This window comes from Homo sapiens, chromosome 6 (genome assembly GCF_000001405.40).
Source record: "Homo sapiens chromosome 6, GRCh38.p14 Primary Assembly".
Classification (NCBI taxonomy): domain Eukaryota; kingdom Metazoa; phylum Chordata; class Mammalia; order Primates; family Hominidae; genus Homo; species Homo sapiens.
Genome location: NC_000006.12, coordinates 79952233 through 79974511, shown reverse-complemented (window position 1 = coordinate 79974511; position 22279 = coordinate 79952233). Strand labels below are relative to the sequence as shown.

Sequence of the window (22279 nt, the reverse complement as noted above, 5' to 3'; positions counted from 1 at the left end):
CGGCTCAAATTCATCTTTCAAACATCAAATCAAAATTATCTAAACTACAAATATAATCTGATTACTGTTAGGTTTATTATCATTTAAACTGTTTGTATATAGGAAAAGTCCAAGCTCCTCAACATGAAGTCCCAAGGCTTTTATCCCTGAATTCTATCATCTGGTACTCCCTGTCTTAAACTTGACCAACATTCAACTGCTTCTTATTCCATATACATATCATGCTACTTCTCACCTTCAGGTTATGTTTTTAAATGTCTCCACTATGGGAACTGTTATTCCATCCTCAACTGGCACACATAGATAATCTCTTTGGGAAGTCTTCCATGATTACTTCCTCCCCACACTGGCTAGATTTTGAGGACTAACATCTGGGCTCTTAGCCATTCACTGCACTTATTTCATTGCGTTGAAAGTGTTGAAATTACTGTATGTATTGCTGTATCTGTCTTTCCCTCTAGATTATGAGAAACTTCAAGGCAAGGATAGCACCTGAAGTACACAGCAAATTCAACATACATAGATACTCAGTGAATGTTTGTTGAATGAACAAATGAATTTGTTAATATTTATTTATGGCATACCTTTTAGCCATTACCTTTTCTAGTAAGCCACAGACATCTCCGGTCAAAATGAAGAGATTCTTCTGTTTTCAGTGCACCCCATCAGATCTCTGCCTTCATGTTGTCATTAAGGTTGTTGTGGAGGTTAATATTGTCAATACCATCATTATTGCTACATGTATTGGGTTCTGGAGGCAGAGGCAGTGAGATTAATTCATTTGCCAAGGTCATACAGTAAGTAAAGAGACATTTATCATCACTTATTACACTTTATTATACTAATCTTTTTACTTATCTTTACTATACTGTCAATTCTTTGATGATTGTGCCTGAATCGGAGTCAGCTTTGAATAATAACAAAAACACTAGCAACCAATATTTATTGAGTACTCATACTACTTTATATGGCTGACCTCATTTAAGGCCTTACAACATGTGTATGCTGTAGGTGCTATTAATAAACCTACTTTATAATAAGATATATATTAAACCTACTTTACAGTAAAATGTATAGTAGTTATTTATCTTCAAGATAAATTCCCAGAATTGAAATTACTGCAAAAGGTTATAACTATTTTTTCACTTTTAATTTATTATTTATGATTTTAAAAATAATCTTCATTTTTAGAACAGTTTTGGATTTAAATAGAAATTGCAAAGATAAAAGAGTTCTCATATACCTCACACACATTTTCCCCTATTATTACCATCTTACATTAGGATGGTACATTTGTCACAATTGTTGAACCAATATTGAGTCTGTACTTTATTCAAATTTCCATAGATTTTACCTAATGTTCCTTTCGTTTCCAGGATCCCCTCCAGAATACTAACTATATTATTTTAGTTTTCATGTTTCCTTAGGCTCCTCTTGGCTATGACAGTTTCTCAGACTTTCTTTGTTTTGGATGACCTTTATCATTTTTAGGAGTATTAATTATACATTTGTAGAATGTTTTGGGAACTTGTCTGATGTTTTCACATGATTAGACTGGGGTTGTGGATTTGGGGAAGAAAGACCACAGAGGTAAACTGTTATTTTCATCAAATCATATTAAGGGTACATACTATCAACATTTTTTATCACTGTTGATGTTGACCTTGATCATGTGATTGAGGTAGTATTTGTCAGGTGTATCCATTTTAAAGATACTCTTCTTTCCCTCTTTTCATACTGCACTTTTTGGGAAGAAGTCACTGGGTGCAGCCTACATTTAAGGAATGGGGTGTTATGTTCCACTTCCTTGAAGGTGGAGTATCTACATAAATTATTTTGAATTCTTTGGCAAGGGAAATTTATCTCTTCTTTCTTTCTTCTCCCCTCCCCACCTCGCTCCCTCCCTCCCTTTTTTGGTTCATGGCTATTTGTTTTACATTTTGGGCTACAGTGCAATACTACCTTAATTTGCTACTCAAAATGTTTCAGCTTTAGGCTTTGGTTGCGGTATCCCTTTGCCATATCCATAAAATTGGGGGGGGGGGTTTCTCTGAGTACTTCCTTACTTTCTGGCATAACTACAGAAAGTTATACCAGGCTCTTCTTACACATGTCCTGCCCCAGTCCTAGAGCTAGTTATTTTTTCAAGGATTTCTGGTTACTTAGATTGGAAAATGGTATTAAAAACCAAAATCTGGGCCGGGCGCGGTGGCTCACGCCTGTAATCCCAGCACTTTGGGAGGCCGAGGAGGGCGGATCACGAGGTCAGGAGATCGAGACCATCCTCGCTAACACGGTGAAACCCCGTCTCTACTAAAAAATACAAAAAAAATTAGCCAGGTATGGTGGCGGGCGCCTGTAGTCCCAGATACTTAGGAGGCTGAGGCAGGAGAATGCCGTGAACCCGGGAGGCGGAGCTTGCAGTGAGCAGAGATCACGCTACTGCACTCCAGCCTGGGAGACAGAGCGAGACTCTGTCTCAAAAAAAAAAACAAAAAAACAAAAAAACACCAAAATCTGGATGCGACGTGTGCTTGTTGCCTGTAGAGTATCATTTACTCTTAGCCCTCTCAGCTGACAGGGCAAAGGAATACATGTGTGTATACTGACCTGTGTATTTACAGACAGTCCCTGACTTATGATGATTTTTTAACTATATCATGGTGCAAAAAATCATGCACATTCAGTATGCTCCCCAACTTACAGTGGGGCTATATCTGGATAAACCCATTATAAGCTGAAAATACCTTAGTCGAAAATGCACTTTTGACTTACAATATTTTTAATTTATGATGGGATTATCTGAATATCAAAGTTCAGGAACATCTGTAAACATCTACATGTAAAACTCTTTGCATCTATATTAAGCCAAACGGGAGTTTATGTTGGTGTGTCCAACTCTAATCTACTACAATAGGGATCATCCTAGCCTCCTCCCTTTGCTTACCTTTAAATTTACACTTTAATAGTAAGAAACCTGGCTTCCACTATTTGCCATTCATTTACTTAATTGTTCAATTCTAGTACACATACACAGAAGTATCAGAATTGTTGACTCATAACACTGTGGGAAATAACTATATCAACTACAGTACATTACCTATGTGCTGTTCCTTTCTCTTTTAGTCTTACAGATTACTCATTTTCAAATGGACTTAGGTCAGCAAATTTTATCCCAACACCTTTCAGTGAGGTTGTTCTATACATTTTGAAATACAATTAGATTATATTGTCACAGTCTATATTTCATCCTGGAACCCTCCAAATTCCAAAATAATTTTGGAAATTTTGCATACATTAAGGTTTACTCTTTGCTGTAAAGTCCTATGGGTTGTGAGAAATGCATAGTGTCGGCAGGGCACGGTGGCTCATGCCTGTAATCCCAGCACTTTGGGAAGTGGAGAGGGGGGTGGATCATTTGAGGTCAGGAGTTCAAGACCAACCTGACCAGCATGGTGAAACCCCGTTCCTACTAAAAACACACACACACACACACACAAAAGCTGGGCGTGGTGGCGCATGCCTGTAGTCCCAGCTACTCAGGAGGCTGAGGGAAGAGAATTGCTTGAACCCAGGAGGCGGAGGTTGCAGTGAGCCGAGATTGTGCCATAGCACTCCAGCTTGGGTGACAGAGCAAAACTCTGTCAAAAAAAAAAAAAAGCATAGTGTTATTTATCCACCATTACAGTATCATACAGAATATTATCACCACCCAAACAAAATCCACTATACTTCACATATTCAACTTTCTCCCCTCCCCTTTAGCCCCTGGCAACCACAAATCTTTTTTTTTTCTTTTTTCTTTTTAAAGAAAGGAATCAGGATTAACCAAAATCCACATATAAAAGGAGAAACCTTGCAGATTTTTCAAATTTCTATATATCCTCTTTATATTATGATTTATAGCCCTCATTATGCTGTACCTTTACTCCATTGATTCTATCATGAGACTTACAGGAAGAAACAGTAAAACTGATCTCCACAGGCCCACTATCATGTTTTTTAGTCTAGTTTGTGCAGTCCTATGCATATGCTGCAGGAAGGGATGACTCTCCATAGTTTCCACTGATAGGAAGACCATATGAATAAGGGAAGAGAAATATAAATGAAACATCCATATAATCTAGCAAGGCTTTCTTGCTCTTTTTAATTTTTATTTTTATTTACTTATTTTTATATTATTTATTTATTATTTTTAACTTTTACTACAGGTTTAGGGGTACATGTGAAGGCCTGTCACATAGGCAAACTCACATCATTTGCTGTACAGACCATTTCATAACCCAAATACTAAGCCTCGTACCCATTGGTTGCTTTTTTCTGTTCCTCTCCCTCCTCCCACCTTCAACTTCAAGTAGAACCCAGTGTGTTGTTCTCCACTTTGTGTCCACGTTTTCTCATCATTTAGCTCCCACTTATAAGTGAGAACATGCAGTTCTGTTCCTGTAATAGTTTGTTAAGGATGATGGCCTCCAGTTCCATCGACGTTCCTGCAAAGAACATGATCTTGTTATTTTTCATGGTTGTGTAGTATTCCATAGCATATGTGTACCACATTTTCTTTACCCATTCTACCACTGATGGGCATTTAGGTTGATTCCATGTCTTTGCTATTGTAAATAGTGCTGTAATGAACATGTGTGTCCACGTGTCTTCATGGTAGAATTATTTACGTTCCTTTGGGTATATACTCAGCATTGGGATTGCTGGGTTGAATGGTAGTTCTGTTTTTAGCTCTTTGAGGAATTGCCACACTGCTTTCCACAATGGTCAAACTAATTTACACTCCAACTAACAGTGTATAAACATTCCATTTTCTCTGCAACCTCACCAGCATCTGTTATTTTTTGACTTTTTACCAATAGCCATTCTGACTGGTGTGAGATGGTATGTCATTGTGGTTTTGATTTGCATATCTCTAATGCTTGGTGATATTGCATTTTTTTCATATGCTTATTGACCACATGTATGTCTTCTTTGAAAAGTGTCTGTTTATGTTCTTTGCCCAATTTTTAAAGGGCTTGGTTTTTTCTTGTAAATTTGTTTAAGTGCCTTATAGATGTGGGATATTAGACCTTTGTCAGATGCATAGTTTGTTAATATTTCTCCCAATCTGTAGGTTGTCCATTTATTCTGTTGATAGTTTCTTTTGCTGTGCAGAAGGTCTTAAGTTTAATTACATCCCATTTGTCAATTTTTGCATTTGTTGCAATTGCTTTTGGCATCTTTGTCATGTAATCTTTGGCAGTTTCTATGTCCAGAATGGTATTGTCTAGGTTATCTTACAGGGTTTTTATAGTTTCGGGTTTTACATTTAAATCTTTAATCTATCTTGAGTTGGTTTTTGTATGTGGTATAAGAAAGGGATCCAGTTTCAATCTTCTACATATGGCTAGCCAATTATCCCAGCATTAATTATTGAATAGGGAGTCCTTTCTCCATTGCTTGTTTTTGTCAGCTTTGTCAAAGATCAGATGATTGTAGGTGTGTGGCCTTATTTATGGGCTCTCTATTCTGTTTCATTGGTCTATGTGTCTGTTTTTGTACCAGTGCCATGCTGTTTTGTTTACTGTAGCCCTGTAGTACAATTGTGATGCTGGATTCAGTTTGCAAGTATTTTGTTGAGGATTTTTGCATCAGTGTTCCTCAAGGATATTGGCCTGAAGTTTTCTTTTTTTGTTGTGTCTCTGCCAAGTTTTGGTATCAGGTTAATGCTGACCTCATAGAATGAGTTTGGGAAGAGTCCCTTCTCCTCAATTTTTTGGTATAGTTTCAATAGGAATGATACCACCTCTTCTTTGTACATCTAGTAGAATATGCCTGTGAATCTGTCTGGTCCTGGGCTTCTATTTGTTGGTAGGCTATTTATTACTGATTCAGTTACAGAGCTTGTTATTGGTCTGTCCAGAAAATCAATTTCTTTCTGGTTCAGTCTTGGAAGGTTGTATGTGTTCAGGAATTTATCCATCTCTTCCAGGTTTTCTACTTTGTGTGCATGGAGGTGTTCGTAGTAGTCTCTGATGGTTCTTTGTATTTCTGCGGAGTCAGTGGTAACATCTCATTTGTCATTTCTGATTGTGTTTATTTGGATCTTCTCTCCTTTTTTTTTTATTAGTCTAGCTAGCAGCCTATCTATCTTTTCAATTTTTTAAACAAGCCAATTACTGGATCTGTTGATGTTTTGAATTTTTTTGTATCTGGATCTCTTTGAATTCAGCTCTGATTTTGGTTATTTCTTGTCTTCTGCTAGCTTTGGGGTTGGTTTGCTCTTGCTTCTCCAGTTCTTTGATGTTAGGTTATTAATTGGAGATCGTTATCCCTTTTTGATGTGGGCCTTTCATATTATGAATTTTCTTCTTAACACTGTCTTAGCTGCGTCTCAGAGATTCTGGCATATTGTATCTTTGTTCTCATCAGTTTCAAAAAACTTACAGATCTCTGCCTTAATTTCATTATTTACCCAGAAGTCTTTCAAGAGAAGATTGTTTAATTTCCACATAATTACATGGTTTTGAGCAATTTTTTTGTCTTGATTTTTATTTTTACTGTGCTGTGATCTGTGAGTGCATTTGATATGATTTCAGTTCTTTTGTATTTGCTGAGGATTGTCTCATGTCCAATTATGTGATTGATTTTAGAGTATGTGCCATGTGGCAAAAAGAGGAATGCCTATTCTGTTGTTTGGGGCTGGAGACTTCTGTAGAAGTCTATCAGATCCATTTGGTCCAATATTGAGTTCAGGTCCTGAATATCTTTATTAATTTTCTGTCTTGATGATCTGTCTTATACTGCCAATGGAGTGTTGAAGTCTGTCACTATTAATTGTGTGAAAGTCTAAGTTTCTTTGTAGGCCTCTAAGAACTTGCTTTTTGAAAGTAAGTGTTCTGTGTTGGGTGTGTATACACTTAGGATAGTGAGGTCTTCTTGTTGAATTGAACCCTTTACCATGATATAATACCCTTCATCCTTTTTGATCTTTGGTGGTTTAAAGTCTGTTTTGTCTGAAATTAGAATTGTAACTCCTGCTTTTTTTCTGATTTCCATTTGCTTGGTAGCTTTTTCTCCATCCCTTTATTTTGAGCCTATGGGTGTTATTGTGTGTGGTCTCTTGAAGACAGCATACCACCAAGTCTTGCTTTTTTATCCAAATTGCCACTCTGTGCCTTTTAAATGAGGCATTTAGCCTGTTTACATTCAAAGTTGGTATTGATATGTATGGACTTGATCCTGTCATTGTGTTGTTAGCTGGTTATTATGCTGGCTTGTTTATGTGGTTATTTTATAGTAGCACTGGTCTGTGGTTGCTTTATAGTATCACTGGTCTTAAGTGTGTTTTTGTATTGGCTGATAATAGTCTTTCCGTTCCATATTCAGAGCTCCTTTCAAGAGCTCTTGTAAGACAGGGCTGATGGTAATAAAATCCTTCAGTATTTGCTTACCTGAAAAGGATCATATTTCTCCTTCACTAACAAAGCTTAGTTTTGTTGCATACAAAATTCTTATTTGAAGATATTTTTCTTTAAGAATGTTGAATATAGGCCCCCAATCGCTTCTGGCTCATAGGATTTCTGCGGAGAGGTCCGCTGTTAGCCTGATGGGGTTTTCTTTGCAGGTGACATGCCCTTTCTTGCTGGCTGCCTTTAACATTCTTTCTTTTATTTTATCCTTGGAAAATTTGATGATTATGTGTCTTGGGATGATCCTCTTGTGTAGAATCTTGCAGGAGTTTGCTGTATTTCCTGATCAACATTCTTTCTTTTATTTTATCTTTGGAAAATCTGATGATTATGTGTCTTGGGATGATCTTATTGTGTAGAATCTTGCAGGCATTCTCTGTATTTCCTGAATTTGGCTGTTGGCCTAATGAGGTTGTGGAAATTTTCATGGACAATATCCTGAAATATGTTTTCCAAGTTGTTTGCTTTTTCGTCATCTCTTTCAGTGATGCCAGTGATTTGTAGATTTGGCCTCTTTACCTAGTCCCATATTTCTCAGAGGGTTGGTTCATTCCCTTTCATTCTTTTTTCTTTATTTTTGTCTGACTGTCTTATTCGAGAGAGTCAATCTTCAAGTTCCAAGATTCTTTCCTCAGCTTGGTCTACTGCTGTTAATACTTACAAATGCATGGTGAAATTCTTGTAGTGTATTTTTCAGCTCTATTGGATCAATTAGGTTCCTTTTTATAGCTGTTATTTTGTCTATCAGCTCCTGTATTGTTTTCTTGTAATTCTTAGTTTCCTTAAATTGGGTTTTGCTTTTCCCCTGAGCCTTTATGATCTTTGTTTCTATCTGTATTCTGAATTCTATTTCTGTCATTTCAGCCGACTCAGTCTAGTTAAGAATCCTTGTTGGAGAATTAGCGTAGTCATTTGGAGAACATAAGACACCCTGGTCATTTGAGTTGTTGGAGTTCTTGCATTTGTTCATTCTCATCTCTGCTTGTATGTGTTCCTTTAACTGCTAGGCTATCCCTGATTGAAGCAGTCAAGTGGGGGCATGGTGGTTGTACTGGAGTCCCAGGTCAGGCGGCCCTGCCCAGTGAGAAGTAAGGACCAGGACCTTCATGGAGAACAGACAAGACACTTTTACATGAGGTAGGTGCTCCTCTGGGGGTCTGGACCAACACCTGGTTTCATGGATGCTCCAGAGCCTGGACACAGCAAGGGTGAGGGCTGGAAGACAGCAAAGATGGCAACCTGCCCCTTCCATTGGGAGCTCTGTCTCAGGAAGCTGAAGAGCTACTACTGGCTCGATAGTCCAATGTGGGGTGGCTGGAGACCCAGGCCAGGAGAACCTGTCCAGTGAGGAAATGTGAGATCAGGGACCCATGTAACAAAGACTCTGGCCACTTTTCCACAGGGCTATTGCAGTATGCTGGGGTTCTGATCCAGTGCCAAAACCTCAGGTTTTCCAGTACCTGAAGGTATCCAATCTTTTTACTGTCTCTAGAGCTTTGCCTTTTTAGAAATGTTAGATAATTAGAATCACATATTATGTAGCCTTTTTAGACTAGTTTCTTTCACTTAGCAATATTCATTTATGCATTTAAGTTTTATTCATGTCTTTTTATGGCTTGACAGCTCATTTCTTTTTATTGCTGAATAATATCCCACTGTATGGATGTGCCAAAATTATTTTATCCATTCACTTATTAAAGGACATCTTGGTTTCTTCCAATTTTTGGTGATTATGAAGAAAGCTGGTATAAACATCTCTGTGCAGGATTTTTTATTTTGTTTTGTTTTACAAGAGAACAAATCCACTTATTTATTTACTTTTCATTAGTTTAAGTCCTTGAGGGGTACAGTATTGTTACTGGGAATTCTGTGTTGGAATGGATTCTTTAACCTAGAAGATCAACAGAGCTGGAGCTCTGGACCAGTAATCTTGGTTCCTGTGATACTGAGCAAAGAATTGCAAACTAACACCAAAATGCAAGCTCAAAGCAGAGTTTACTGAAGAACAGTAATAGACTCTCAGAGAGAGAGTGGGCTGATTTCTGCGAAGTGAAATCAGTCCCTTTTTACAAAACTCAGAGGGCTTTGATGCAGCTTTTGTGGGAAGGAGTTAGGGTTTGGCCTCTGTCTGAGTAGCAAGATGATGTCATTTGATTGTCAGTATATGGACATGTAGCTAAAATTAAATTGTGCATGCTCTTACTCATATTTTGTTAACAAAAGCCCATGGTGGGCGGCTGTAAAAACACATGTAAATTTTATTATAATGATGGTATAATGAGCATGGGGTGAACTTGAGGACACAGTTCCATGTTACTGGGCATGTGCCACTTTAAGTAATTTCCACCTGTGCCCTACTTTCTCCTTCTCCAGGATGTGTTGGCCCACAGACTTTACCACAAACTCCAACTGTTAGGGTGGAGTTACGGCAGTTCTGGGGCTGAACTCAGGTGGGCCATGGGCTGCCTTAGTGACAGCCTTTTGGTTCTCTTTTCTTACCCACTCCCAGCTGCTAATATCTATCTAATTACCTAAAAGTATCACATTGATTTTGTGTTCAATGGCCTTAGCAGGAAAGTTGTTTTGGAATTTATTATGAACGATGTCACTTTTTTCATGGGCACAAGTTACCTTTTCCAGATTACTCTGGTTTTGTTTGGTTTGCTGGCAGAAGCCACTGTGTTCTTTCCTTCGTACACAGAAGCACATCTCTTGGCCAAACAGAATTCAGTTTCATCTTGGACACAAATACCTTCAGTTTTAAGAAGAGCCATGTGCTCCCTTTGGTTCCAGAGATCCCACTTACAGCCATCAAAAGTGGCGTTGGAAAACAGCCTTCCAAACAGATTTATCTTTTAGAAGTCCTTTTCCCAGTAGGCCTCCACAGACTACAAAATGGTGGGAAGAACCATGTGGAGGTTTTGGTATGGATATACATTTTCAAATCAGTTGGGTAAATAAATAGGAGCATGATTTCTGAATTGTTAGGTTTTCTTTTGAAATTTAGCCATTCTCATAAATGTGTAGTGGTATGTCATTGTTATTTTAATTTGCAGTTCTTAATGACAAATGATGTTGAGCATCTCATATCCTTATTTCCCATCTGCAGATCTTCTTTGATGAGGTGTCCAGATCTTTTGATTATTTTTTCAATCGAGTTGTTTGTTTTACTGTTGTTGTTATTGTTGAGTTTTAAGAGTTCTTTGTATATTTTGGATACAAGCCCTTTATCAGATATGTGTTTGCAAATATTTTCTTCAGTTCTGTAGTTTGTCTTTTAATTCTGCAAATAAATAGTCTTTCACAGAGCAGAAGTTTTTAATTTTAATGACATCAATTTTTTTCTTTCATAGATTGTGCTTTTGATGTTGTATCTAAACACTCATCACTATAATGAAGGTCACCTAGATTTTTGCTGATATTTTCATACAGAAGTTTTATGATTTGCATCCTACATTTAGGTCCATAATGCAATTTGAGTTAATTTTTGTGAAAGATGTAATTTTTCTCTCCAGGTTTTGTTTTGTTTTTTTTGTTTTTGCATGGACATCTAATTGTTCTAGACTATTTGTTGAAAAGGCTCTTCTTTCTCCATTGAATTTTCTTTGCTTCTTTGTCAAAGATAAGTTGACTACATATGTGTTGGTCAATTTCTGGGCTCTACATTCTTTCCATCGTTCTATGTGTCTATTCTTTCCCCAGTATAATAAGGTCTTAACTACTGTAGCTTTATATTAAGTCTTGAAATCAAGTAGTGTGAATTCTCCAACTGTGTTCTTCTTTGGTATTGTGTTAGCTATTCTAAATCTCTTACATTTTCACATGAACTTTAGAATCAGTTGGTTGATATTTACAAAATAGCTTGCTGGAATTTTATTGAGATTGCATTGAATGTGTACACCAAATTGGGAAGAATTGGCATGTTAACAATATTTAGTCTTCTAATCAGTGCACATAGAATATCATATCTCTCCATTTATTTATATCTCCTTTGATTTATTTCATTAGAGTTTTACAGATTTTCACGTATGGATTCTGTGCATAATTTGCTAGATTTATACCTAAGTATTTCATTTTCTTTGGTGCTATTGTAAATAGTATTGCTTTTTAAATTTCCATTTCAAGTTGTTCATTATTGATAAAGCAATTAACTTTTGGATATTATCCTTGTATCCTGTAAACTTCCTATGGTCTCTTATTAGTTCTAGGAGTTTTGTTGTTGATAACCCTTTGGGATTTTCCACATAGATAATCATGTTATCTGTGAATAAAGACAGTTATATTTTTTCCTTTCCAGTCTAAATACACTTATTTCCTTTTCTTATCTTATTGCACTTGTTAGGAATTCCAGTATGATGCTAACTAGGAGTGGTGGGGCAGGGTAACTTTGCCTTATTTATGATTTTAAAGAGAAAATGTTCAGTTAGTCATCTTAAGACTGATGTCTGCTGTAGGCAATTTTAGATATTCTTTATCAAGTTACAAAAGTTCCCTTTATCCTTTGTGTGCTGAGAGTTTGTATTATGAATGGGTGTTACATTTTTGCCAAATGATTTTTCTGCATCAGTTGATAAGATCATATTTTTCTTCTTTAGCCTGTTGATGTGATGGATTATACTGACTGACTTTTAAATGTGGTTTTTTGAATTATTTGGAATGATTTTTGAACCAGCCTTGCATAACTAGAATAAATCCCACTTGGTCTTGAGGTTTAATTATTTTTATACATTATTGAATTCAATTTGGTATATTTTATTGAGGATTTTAACATTTATTTTATGAGAGATTTTAGTGTGTAGTTTTCCTTTCTTATAATATCTTTATCTGATTTTGGTATTGGAGTAATAGTGGCCTCATGAAATGAGTTAGAAAGTGTTCTCTGTACTTCTATTTTCTGGAAGAGATTGTGAGAATTTGTATCCTTTCTTCCTTAAATATTGGTAGAATTCACAGATGAAACCATCTGGACAAGGTGCATTACATTTTAGAAGTTAATGAATTATGGATTCAGTTTCTTTAATAGATATAATTCTATTCATATTTTCTAATCTTCCTTGTATGAATTTTGGTAATAAGTATATTTTAGGAAATTAGCCCATTTTACCTACTTTATTATATTGGTGGGCATAAATTTGTTCAGAGCATTCATATAGTATTCTTTTAACATTCATGGGAGTAGTAGTGATGGCCATTCTTTCATTTCTGATGTTAGTAATTTGCATCTTCTTTCTTTTTTTCTTAGCCTAGATAGAGATTTCAATTTTATTGATGTTTTCAAAGAAGCAGCTTTTGGTTATATTGACTTTCTCTGTTGTTTTCCAGTTTTCAGTTTCACTGATTTCTGCTCTGATTTTTATTATTTCTTTTCTTCTGCTTCCTTTGGGTTTACACTGCTCTTCTTTCTCCAGTTTCCTAAGGTGAAGCTTAATAATTTTCCACCTTTTTTTTCTTTTCTAACATGTTAATTTTAATACTATGGAAACCTCACTGCTTTTGCTGCATCCCACAAACTTTGATAAGTTGCATTTTTTAGTTCAAAATATTTTAAAATTTCTCTTGAGACTTCTCTTTGACCCATATGTTGTTTAGAAATATGTTGTTTAATCTCCAAACGTTTCTGGTTTTCCCAATTATCTTTCCATTGTTGATTTCTAATTTAATTGTATTGTGGTCTGAGGACATTCTTTGTATGATTTCTATTCTTTTAGATTTGTTAAGGTATGTTTATAGTCCAGAATGTGGTCTATCTTGGTGAATGTTCCACATGAGCTTGAGAAAGCAGTGTATTCAGCTGTTGTTGGTTGAAATATTTTATGTCCGTTAGATCAAGGTAACTGAGAGTGTTCTTTAGATCAACTACACTCTTACTGATTTTCTGAATGCTTGACCTATCAATTACTGAAATTAGTGTTGAAGTCTCTAATACCGAAGTTGTTTATTTTTCTTCACAACTCTATCAGGTTTTGCCTCACATATTTTGACACTGGTATTGGGTACATGCACATGAAAGATGTATTATCCTCTTTATATCTTGTTGAATTTGATTTGATACATTACTAAAGGATTTGTGCATGTATGTTAATGAGGAATATTAGACTATAATTTACTTTTCTTGAAAAGTCCTCGGTAGGTTTTGGTATCAGATTTATGGTGACATCATAAAATGAATTGAGAAGAGTTACCTTCTCTTTATTCTGAAAGTGTTTGAGTGTAACACTGGTAATATTTCTTCCTTAAATATTTCATAGGATTTGGCAATGAAGCTGTCTAAGCATAGAGCTATTTGTTAGAAGATTAAGAAATTATAAACTTAATTTCTTTCAAGGCTATTCAAATTTTACATTTCTTCTTGTTTCAGTTTTGATAAGTTGTATTTTCTAAGGAATTGGTCTATTATACCTAATTCATCAAATCTTCTAGCATAAAACTGTTTATAATACTTCCTTACTATCCTTTTAATGCCTATAGATTCTGTAATAATATCCTTTTATTCTCTATTTTTTTCTTTATTAGAATATGTCAGGATTTATAAATTTTCTTACTATTTTCAAAGAACCAAATGACGGCTTTGCTGAATTACTCAACTGTCGGTTTTCTCTTTTCCTTTATTTCTGCTCTTATCTGCATTATTTTATTTCTTCTGTTTACTTTTATTCTAATTTACTGTTTTTTTCCAGCTCTTTAAATTAGGAGCTTAGAATATTGATTGCAATTTCTTCTTCTAATTAAAGTATTTATTTTCCTTTAAAGCTTGCTTTAATTGCATCCCATACATCTTAGTATGTTGTGTTTTAACTATTATTTAGTTTGGAAATTTTTTTTATTATTATTATACTTTAAGTTCTAGGGTACATGTGCACAACGTGCAGGTTTGTTACATATGTATACATGTTCCATGTTGGGGTGCTGCACCCATTAACTCGTCATTTACATTAGGTATACCTCCTAATGCTATCCCTCCCCCCACCCACCCCACAACAGGCCCTGGTGTGTGATGTTCCCCTTCCTGTGTCCAAGTGTTCTCATTGTTCAATTCCCACCTATGAGTGAGAACATGTGGTGTTTGGTTTTTTGTCCTTACGATGGTTTGCTGAGAATGATGGTTTCCAGCTTCATCCACGTCCCTACAAAGGACATGAACTCATCATTTTTTATGGCTGCATAGTATTCCATGGTGCATATGTGCCACATTTTCGTAATCTAGTCTATGACTGTTGGACATTTGGGTCGGTTCCAAGTCTTTGCTATTGTGAATAGTGCCACAATAAACATACATGTGCATGTGTCTTTATAGCAGCATGATTTATAATCCTTTAGGTATATACCCAGTAATGGGATGGCTGGGTCAAATGGTATTTCTAGTTCTAGATCCCTGAGGAATTGCCACACTGTCTTCCACAATGGTTGAACTAGTTTACAGTCCCACCAACAGTGTAAAAGTGTTCCTATTTCTCCACATCCTCTCCAGCACCTGTTGTTTCCTGACTTTTTAATGATCGCCATTTTAACTGGTGTGAGATGGTATCTCATTGTGGTTTTGATTTGCATTTCTCTGATGGCCAGTGATGATGGGCATTTTTTCATGTGTCTGTTGGCTGCATAAATGTCTTCTTTTGAGAAGTGTCTGTTCATAGCCTTCGCCCACTTGTTGATGGGGTTGTTTGTTTTTTTCTTATAAATTTGTTTGAGTTCTTTGTAGATTCTGGATATGAGCCCTTTGTCAGATGAGTAGATAGCAAAAATTTTCTCCCATTCTGTAGGTTGCCCGTTCAGTCTGATGGTAGTTTCTTTTGCTGTGCAGAAGCTCTTTAGTTGAATTAGATCCCATTTGTCAATTTTGGCTTTTTGTTGCCATTGCTTTTGGTGTTTCAGACATGAAGTCCTTGCCCATGCCTATGTCCTGAATGGTATTGCCTAGGTTTTCTTCTAGGGTTTTTATGGTTTTAGGTCTAACATTTAAGTCTTTAATCCATCTTGAATTGATTTTTGTATAAGGTGTAAGGAAGGGATCCAGTTTCAGCTTTCTAGATATGGCTAGCCAGTTTTCCCTGCACCATTTGTTAAATAGGGAATCCTTTCCCCATTGCTTGTTTTTCTCAGGTTTGTCGAAGATCAGATAGTTGTAGATGTGTGGTATTATTTCTGAGGGCTCTGTTCTGTTGCATTGGTCTATATCTCTGTTTTGGTAGCAGTACCATGCTGTTTTGGTTACCGTAGCCTTGTAGTATAGTTTGAAGTCAGGTAGTGTGATTTCTTTTGGCTTAGGATTGACTTGGCAATGCAGGCTCTTTTTTGTTTTCATATGAACTTTTAAAGTAGTTTTTTCCAATTCTGTGAAGAAAGTCATTGGTAGCTTGATGGGGATGGCATTGAATCTATAAATTACCTTGGGCAGTATGGCCATTTTCACGATATTGATTCTTCCTATCCATGAGCATGGAATGTTCTTCCATTTGTTTGTGTACTCTTTTATTTCATTGAGCAGTGGTTTGTAGTTCTCCTTGAAGAGGTCCTTCACATCCCTTGTAAGTTGGATTCCTAAGTATTTTATTCTCTTTGAAGCAATTGTGAATGGGAGTTCACTCATGATTTGGCTCTCTGTTTGTCTGTTATTGGTGTATAAGAATGCTTGTGATTTTTGCACGTTGATTTTGTATCCTGAGACTTTGCTGAAGTTGCTTATCAGCTTAAGGAGATTTTGGGCTGAGACAATGGGGTTTTCTAGATATACAATCATGTCATCTGCAAACAGGTACACTTTGACTTCCTCTTTTCCTAATTGAATACCCTTTATTTCTTTCTCCTGCCTGATTGCCCTGGCCATAACTTCCAACACTATGTTGAATAGGAGTGGTGAGAGAGGACATCCCTGTCTTGTGCCAGTTTTCAAAGAGAATGCATCCAGTTTTTGACCATTCAGTATGACATTGGCTGTGGGTTTGTCATAAATAGCTCCTATTATTTTGAGATATGTCCCATCAACATTTTTAAAGAAAATAATTTTCAACCCAGAATTTCATATCCAGCCAAACTAAGCTTCATACGTGAAGGAGGAATAAAATCCTTTACAGACAAACAAATGCTGAGAGATTTTGTCACCACCAGGCCTGCCCTAAAAGAGCTCCAGAAGGAAACACTAAACATAGAAAGGAACAACCGGTACCAGCCACTGCAAAAACATGCCAAGTTGTAAAGAACATCAAGGCTAGGAAGAAACTGCATCAACTAACAAGCAAAATAACCAGCTAACATCATAATGACAGGATCAAATTCACACATAACAATATTAACCTTAAATGTAAATGGGCTAAATACTCCACTTAAAAGACACAGACTGGCAAATTGGATAAAGAGTCAAGACCCATCAGTGTGCTGTATTCAGGAAACCCATCTCACGTGCAGAGACACACATAGGCTCAAAATAAAGGGATGGAGGAAGATCTACCAAGGAAATGGAAAACAAAAAAGGCAGGGGTTGCAATCCTAGTCTCTGATAAAACAGACTTTAAACCAACAAAGATCAAAAGAGACAAAGAAGGTCATTACATAATGGTAAAGGGATCAATTCAAAAAGAAGAGCTAACTATCCTAAATATATATGTACCCAATACAGGAGCACCCAGATTCATAAAGCAAGTCCTTAGAGACCTAGAAAGAGACTTAGACTCCCACACAATAATAATGGGAGACTTTAACACCCCACTATCAACATTAGACAGATCAATGAGACAGAAAGTTAACAAGGATATCCAGGACCTGAACTCAGCTCTGCACCAAGTGGACCTAATAGACATCTATGGAACTCTCCACCCCAAATCAACAGAATATACATTCTTCTCAGCACCACATCACACTTATTCCAAAATTGACCACATAGTTGGAAGTAAAGCGCTCCTCAGCAAATGTAAAAGAACAGAAATTATAACAAACTGTCTCTCAGACCACAGTGCAATCAAACTAGAAATCAGCATTAAGAAACTCACTCAAAACTACGCAACTACATGGAAACTGAACAACCTGCTCCTGAATGACTACTGGGTACATAACAAAATGAAGGCAGAAATAAAGATGTTCTTTGAAACCAATGAGAACAAAGACACAACATACCAGAATCTCTGGGACACATTTAAAGCAGTGTGGAGAGGGAAATTTATAGCACTAAATGCCCACAAAAGACAGCAGGAAAGATCTAAAATTAACACCCTAACATCACAATTAAAAGAACTAGAGAAGCAAGAGCAAACACATTCAAAAGCTAGCAGAAGGCAAGAAATAACTAAGATCAGAGCAGAACTGAAGGAGATAGAGACACAAAAACCCTTCAAAAAATCAATGAATCCAGGAGCTGGTTTTTTGAAAAGATCAACAAAATTGATAGACTGCTAGCAAGACTAATAAAGAAGAAATGAGAGAAGAATCAAATAGATGCAATAAAAAATGATAAAGGGGATATCACCACCAATCCCACAGAAATACAAACTACCATCAGAGAATACTATAAACACCTCTATGCAAATAAACTAGAAAATCTAGAAGAAATGGATAAATTCCTCGACATATACACTCTCCCAAGGCTAAACCAGGAGGAAGTTGAATCTCTGAATAGACCAATAACAGGAGCTGAAATTGAGGCAATAATTTATAGCTTACCAACCAAAAAAAGTCCAGGATCAGATGGATTCACAGCCAAATTCTACCAGAGGTACAAGGAGGAGCTGTTACCATTCCTTCTGAAACTATTCCAATCAATAGAAAAAGAGGGAATCCTTCGTAACTCATTTTATGAGGCCAGCATCATCCTGATACCAAAGCCTGGCAGAGACACAACAAAAAAAGAGAATTTTAGACCAATATCCCTGATGAACATCGACGCAAAAATCCTCAATAAAATACTGGCAAACCGAATCCAGCAGCACATCAAAAAGCTTATGCACCATGATCAAGTGGGCTTCATCCCTGGGATGCAAGGCTGGTTCAACATACGCATGTCAATAAACGTAATCCAATATATAAACAGAACCAAAGACAAAAACCACATGATTATCTCAATAGATGCAGAAAAGGCCTTTGACAAAACTCAACAGCCCTTCATGCTAAAAACTCTCAATAAATTAGTTTGGATACTTTCTGTTGCTGTTGTTGAGACAGGGCCTCACTAGGTGCCCAGGCTGATCTCAAACTTCCAGCCTCAATTGATCCTCCTGCCTCTGCCTCCCAAAACGTTGGGATTACAGGTGTGAACAACTGTGCTTGACCTTAAAATTTTTTATAGATATTTCATTGTTATTGATTTCCCATTTAATCCCCTTGTGGTCAAGTTCTATATTATTTCCTATTTGAAATTTATTAAGAGTTATTTAACAGCCCATAAAATTATAGATCTTTGTGATTGTTTCATGCCCATGAATTTGGCCTCCACCAGGTCAAATGATTTACAGTGTAATACATCTCTTCTATATTATAATTTATCTTTGCCTATTTATTATATTAATTATATAATAGGGGTATTAAATTCTATAACAATAATCTTGAATTTGTCTAATTTTTTTCTTAGTCTGTCAAATATTGCTTTATGTATCTTAAAGGTCTGTTATTACGTGCTTACCTTTTACTGGCTCTTTTATCTCTACTAACTTTGGTCTGTCCACATCCTGACATCCTTTAAGGAAGTGAAAAATAAAAAGCTTCTATTTTGCTTTAGGCACTTTTCTTTTGGGTTTTTCTGTAATATGTAATCATATCTAATGCTAAATGATACAAATACTATGACAAAAAAGTACAAGACACCGTGAACATGTGTGTAACGGGGATCTAACCTTGTTATTGGAGTCAGAGTTTTCCTAGGTCATACATTTAAGGTAAAGTGGGTATTAGCTCTAGTCAGAGGTTGTGAAAGAGTATTCCAAGAGGGAGAAAGTTATGTGCAAAAGCCCTGAGTCAAGGGAAGCTTGGCTCTTTGGAGAAACAGAAGGAGGTCCTGATTAGCTTCCCTGTATACTAAAAGCAGAAGTGGTAAAGGAATGATAGGCATTCTAGATCACACTTTCATTAGGCAAGAAGAAAGATTTACAATGTTCTAAGCTTCTAGATGTGGAGGCTTTGGAGCTTCCTGAGAGTACTAGAAATATTAAGAGATTTTAAGATGAGAAATGCCATCATCTGACATGCAATTTTAAAAGATACTCAAAGTACTGTGTGAGAATAAATTGTAGGAGGAAATAAATGGATGCAGAGAGATCAGTTAAGGGGTGATTGAGGCCAGGCACAGTTACTCACGCCTATAATCCCAGCACTTTGGGAGGCCAAGGCAGGCGAATTACGAAGTCAAGAGTTCGAGACCAGCCTGACCAACATGGTGAAACCCCATCTCTACTAAAAATACAAAAATTAGCCGGGCATGGTGGTGAGTGCCTGTAATCCCAGCTACTCAAGAGGCTGAGACAGGAGAATCACTTGAACCTGGGAGGCGGAGGTCGCAGTGAGCCAAGATCATGCCACTGCACTCCAGTCTGGGTGACAGAGCAAGACTGTCTCAAAAAAAAAAAAAAAAAAATGAGGTGATTGAAGTTTGAAGTGTTTAAGGTGGGAGAGAAATGATGGAATTTTCGGTTAAATTATATGCAGTAGAGCTGAGGGAAGTGGAAAAAATCAAGATATATTTTGCAAGCAGAATTAATAGGAGGTGGTCATGAATTGGATGTGTGTTGGAAGGGAGAATATTATAAAATGTCATTGATCACTTTTGGCATGTGTGGAAATAGGGAAATATGAAAGAAGAACAGATTGTGGGAGGGGGGGAGATAGGTTTTTAACATGTTGATTTTCAAGATGCCTGAGTTACATTAAAGAGAACCACACAAGCTATGAGATACATGAGCTGGAAAGAAGATCTAGGTTGAACACATATATCTGAGAGTTATGAATGCAGATGGTAACCAACGCTATGAGAGTGCATGAAATAATTTAGGCAGGGCTCTCTGCTCCTCCTGTTTGACAGACAGCTGCATCTTCTCTTGCATTGCCAACCACATCCCTGAGACACCATGGGGAAAGTGAAGGTTGGAGTCAATGGATTTGGTTGTATTGGGCGCCTGGTCATCAGGGCTGCTTGTAATTCTGGTAAAGTAGATATTATCGCCATCAATGACCCATTCATTGACCTCAGCTACATGGTCTACATGTTCCAGTATGATCCCACCCATGGTAAATTCCATGGCACCGTCAAGGCTGAGAACGGGAAGCTTGTCATCAATGGAAATCCCATCACTATCTTCCAGGAGCCAGATCCCTCCAAAATCAAGTGGGGTGATGCTGGCACTGAGTATGTCATGGAGTCCACTGGCATCTTCACCACCATGGAGAATGCTGGGGCTCACTTGCAGTGGGGAGCCAAAAGGGTCATCATCTCTGCCCCCTCTGCTGATCCCCCCATGTTCACGATGGGTGTGAACCATGAGAAGTATGACAACAGCCTCAAGATCATCAGCAATGCCACCTGAACCACCAACTGCCTAGCGCCCCTGGCCAAAGTCATCACTGACAACTTTGGTATCGTGGAAGGACTCATGACCACAGTCCACGCCATCACTGCCACCCAGAAGACTGTGAATGGCCCCTCCAGGAAACTGTGGCGTGACAGCCACAGGGCTCTCCAGAACATCATCCCTGCCACTACTGGGCTGCCAAGGCTGTGAGGAAGGTCATCCCTGAGCTGAATGGTAAGCTCACTGGCATGGCCCTCCGTGTCCCCACTGCCAACGTGTCAGTGGTGGACCTCACCTACCATCTGGAAAAACCTGCCAAATATGATGACATCAAGAAGGTGGTGAAGCAGGCATCAGAGGGCCCCCTCAAAGGCATCCTGGGCTACACTGGGCACCAGGTGGTCTCCTCCGACTTCAACAGTGACACCCACTCTTCCACCTTCAATGCTGGGGCTGGCACTGCCCTCAACGACCACTTTGTCAAGCTCATTTCCTGGTATGACAATGAATTTGGCTACAACAACAGGGTGGTGGACCTCATGGCCCACATGGCCTCCAAGGAGTAAGACCCCTGGACCACCAGCCTCAGCGAGAGCACAGGAGGAAGAAAGAGGCCCTCACTGTTGGGGAGTCCCTGGCACACTCATTCCCCACCACACTGAATCTTCCCTCCTCACACATTCCATGCACACCCCTTGAAGAGGGAGGGGCCTAGGGAGCCCCATGTTGTCGTGTACCATCAATAAAGTCCCCTGTGCTCAGCCAAAAATAATAACAATCATAATAGTTTAGGCAGAAAGGATAACATAAGTAAAAAAAAAAACTTGTAAAGCAGCCAGAAATAATTGAATTTTAACATTCACAGGCCACAAAAAGAGGAGAAACCGACAAGGATGAGAAAGAGGGAACAGATATATAAGTGATGTTACAGAAGTCAATGTTTTCCCTCAGTTGTTATTCACATTTGCTTTTGTGTATAGTGTGTATGGATTCTTCAGGTTCAAGACAGTTTCTCCAAGATCAGAGGGGGGTCATTTATCTTTGTATGGTTCACAGGCAGGTGAGTCCTACTGCAAAGTTGCTGAGTCCATAAAATTATGGTTCATTTACTGGAAAGTTTTTAAGCATTTATTCACATATAACCATTTTCCTTAAGAAGCATTCCTGGGTCATCGGGATGGCTGGTAGGAGATAGCTTCTGGAATCAACTAAATGCTTGCCTAGAACCAAGTATTTTTCTGATGTCTTGGGTTTTTAAAAGTAAGTCCTTGAAATACAGCTGGTTTCTTTCCTCTATCATGGTGAGTTTATTTCCCCTCAGGCTCTTTTTATCTTCTC

At 37.5% G+C, this 22279-nt stretch overlaps 1 long non-coding RNA gene and 2 pseudogenes across 1 annotated transcript in view; 1 reads left to right on the top strand and 2 right to left on the bottom strand.

Annotated features, from left to right (window-relative positions):
- LOC124901351 (uncharacterized) overlaps nucleotides 1-22279 on the bottom strand; it is a 32242-nt gene that overhangs the window by 5535 nt on the left and 4428 nt on the right. Inside the window, exon 2 of the long non-coding RNA XR_007059656.1 lies at nucleotides 599-751. This is a non-coding gene — a long non-coding RNA (uncharacterized LOC124901351). The remainder of the gene's footprint in view (nucleotides 1-598; nucleotides 752-22279) is intronic.
- On the bottom strand, nucleotides 9990-10297 carry RPL35AP18 (ribosomal protein L35a pseudogene 18; annotated as a pseudogene).
- GAPDHP63 (glyceraldehyde 3 phosphate dehydrogenase pseudogene 63) lies at nucleotides 20430-21706 on the top strand (annotated as a pseudogene).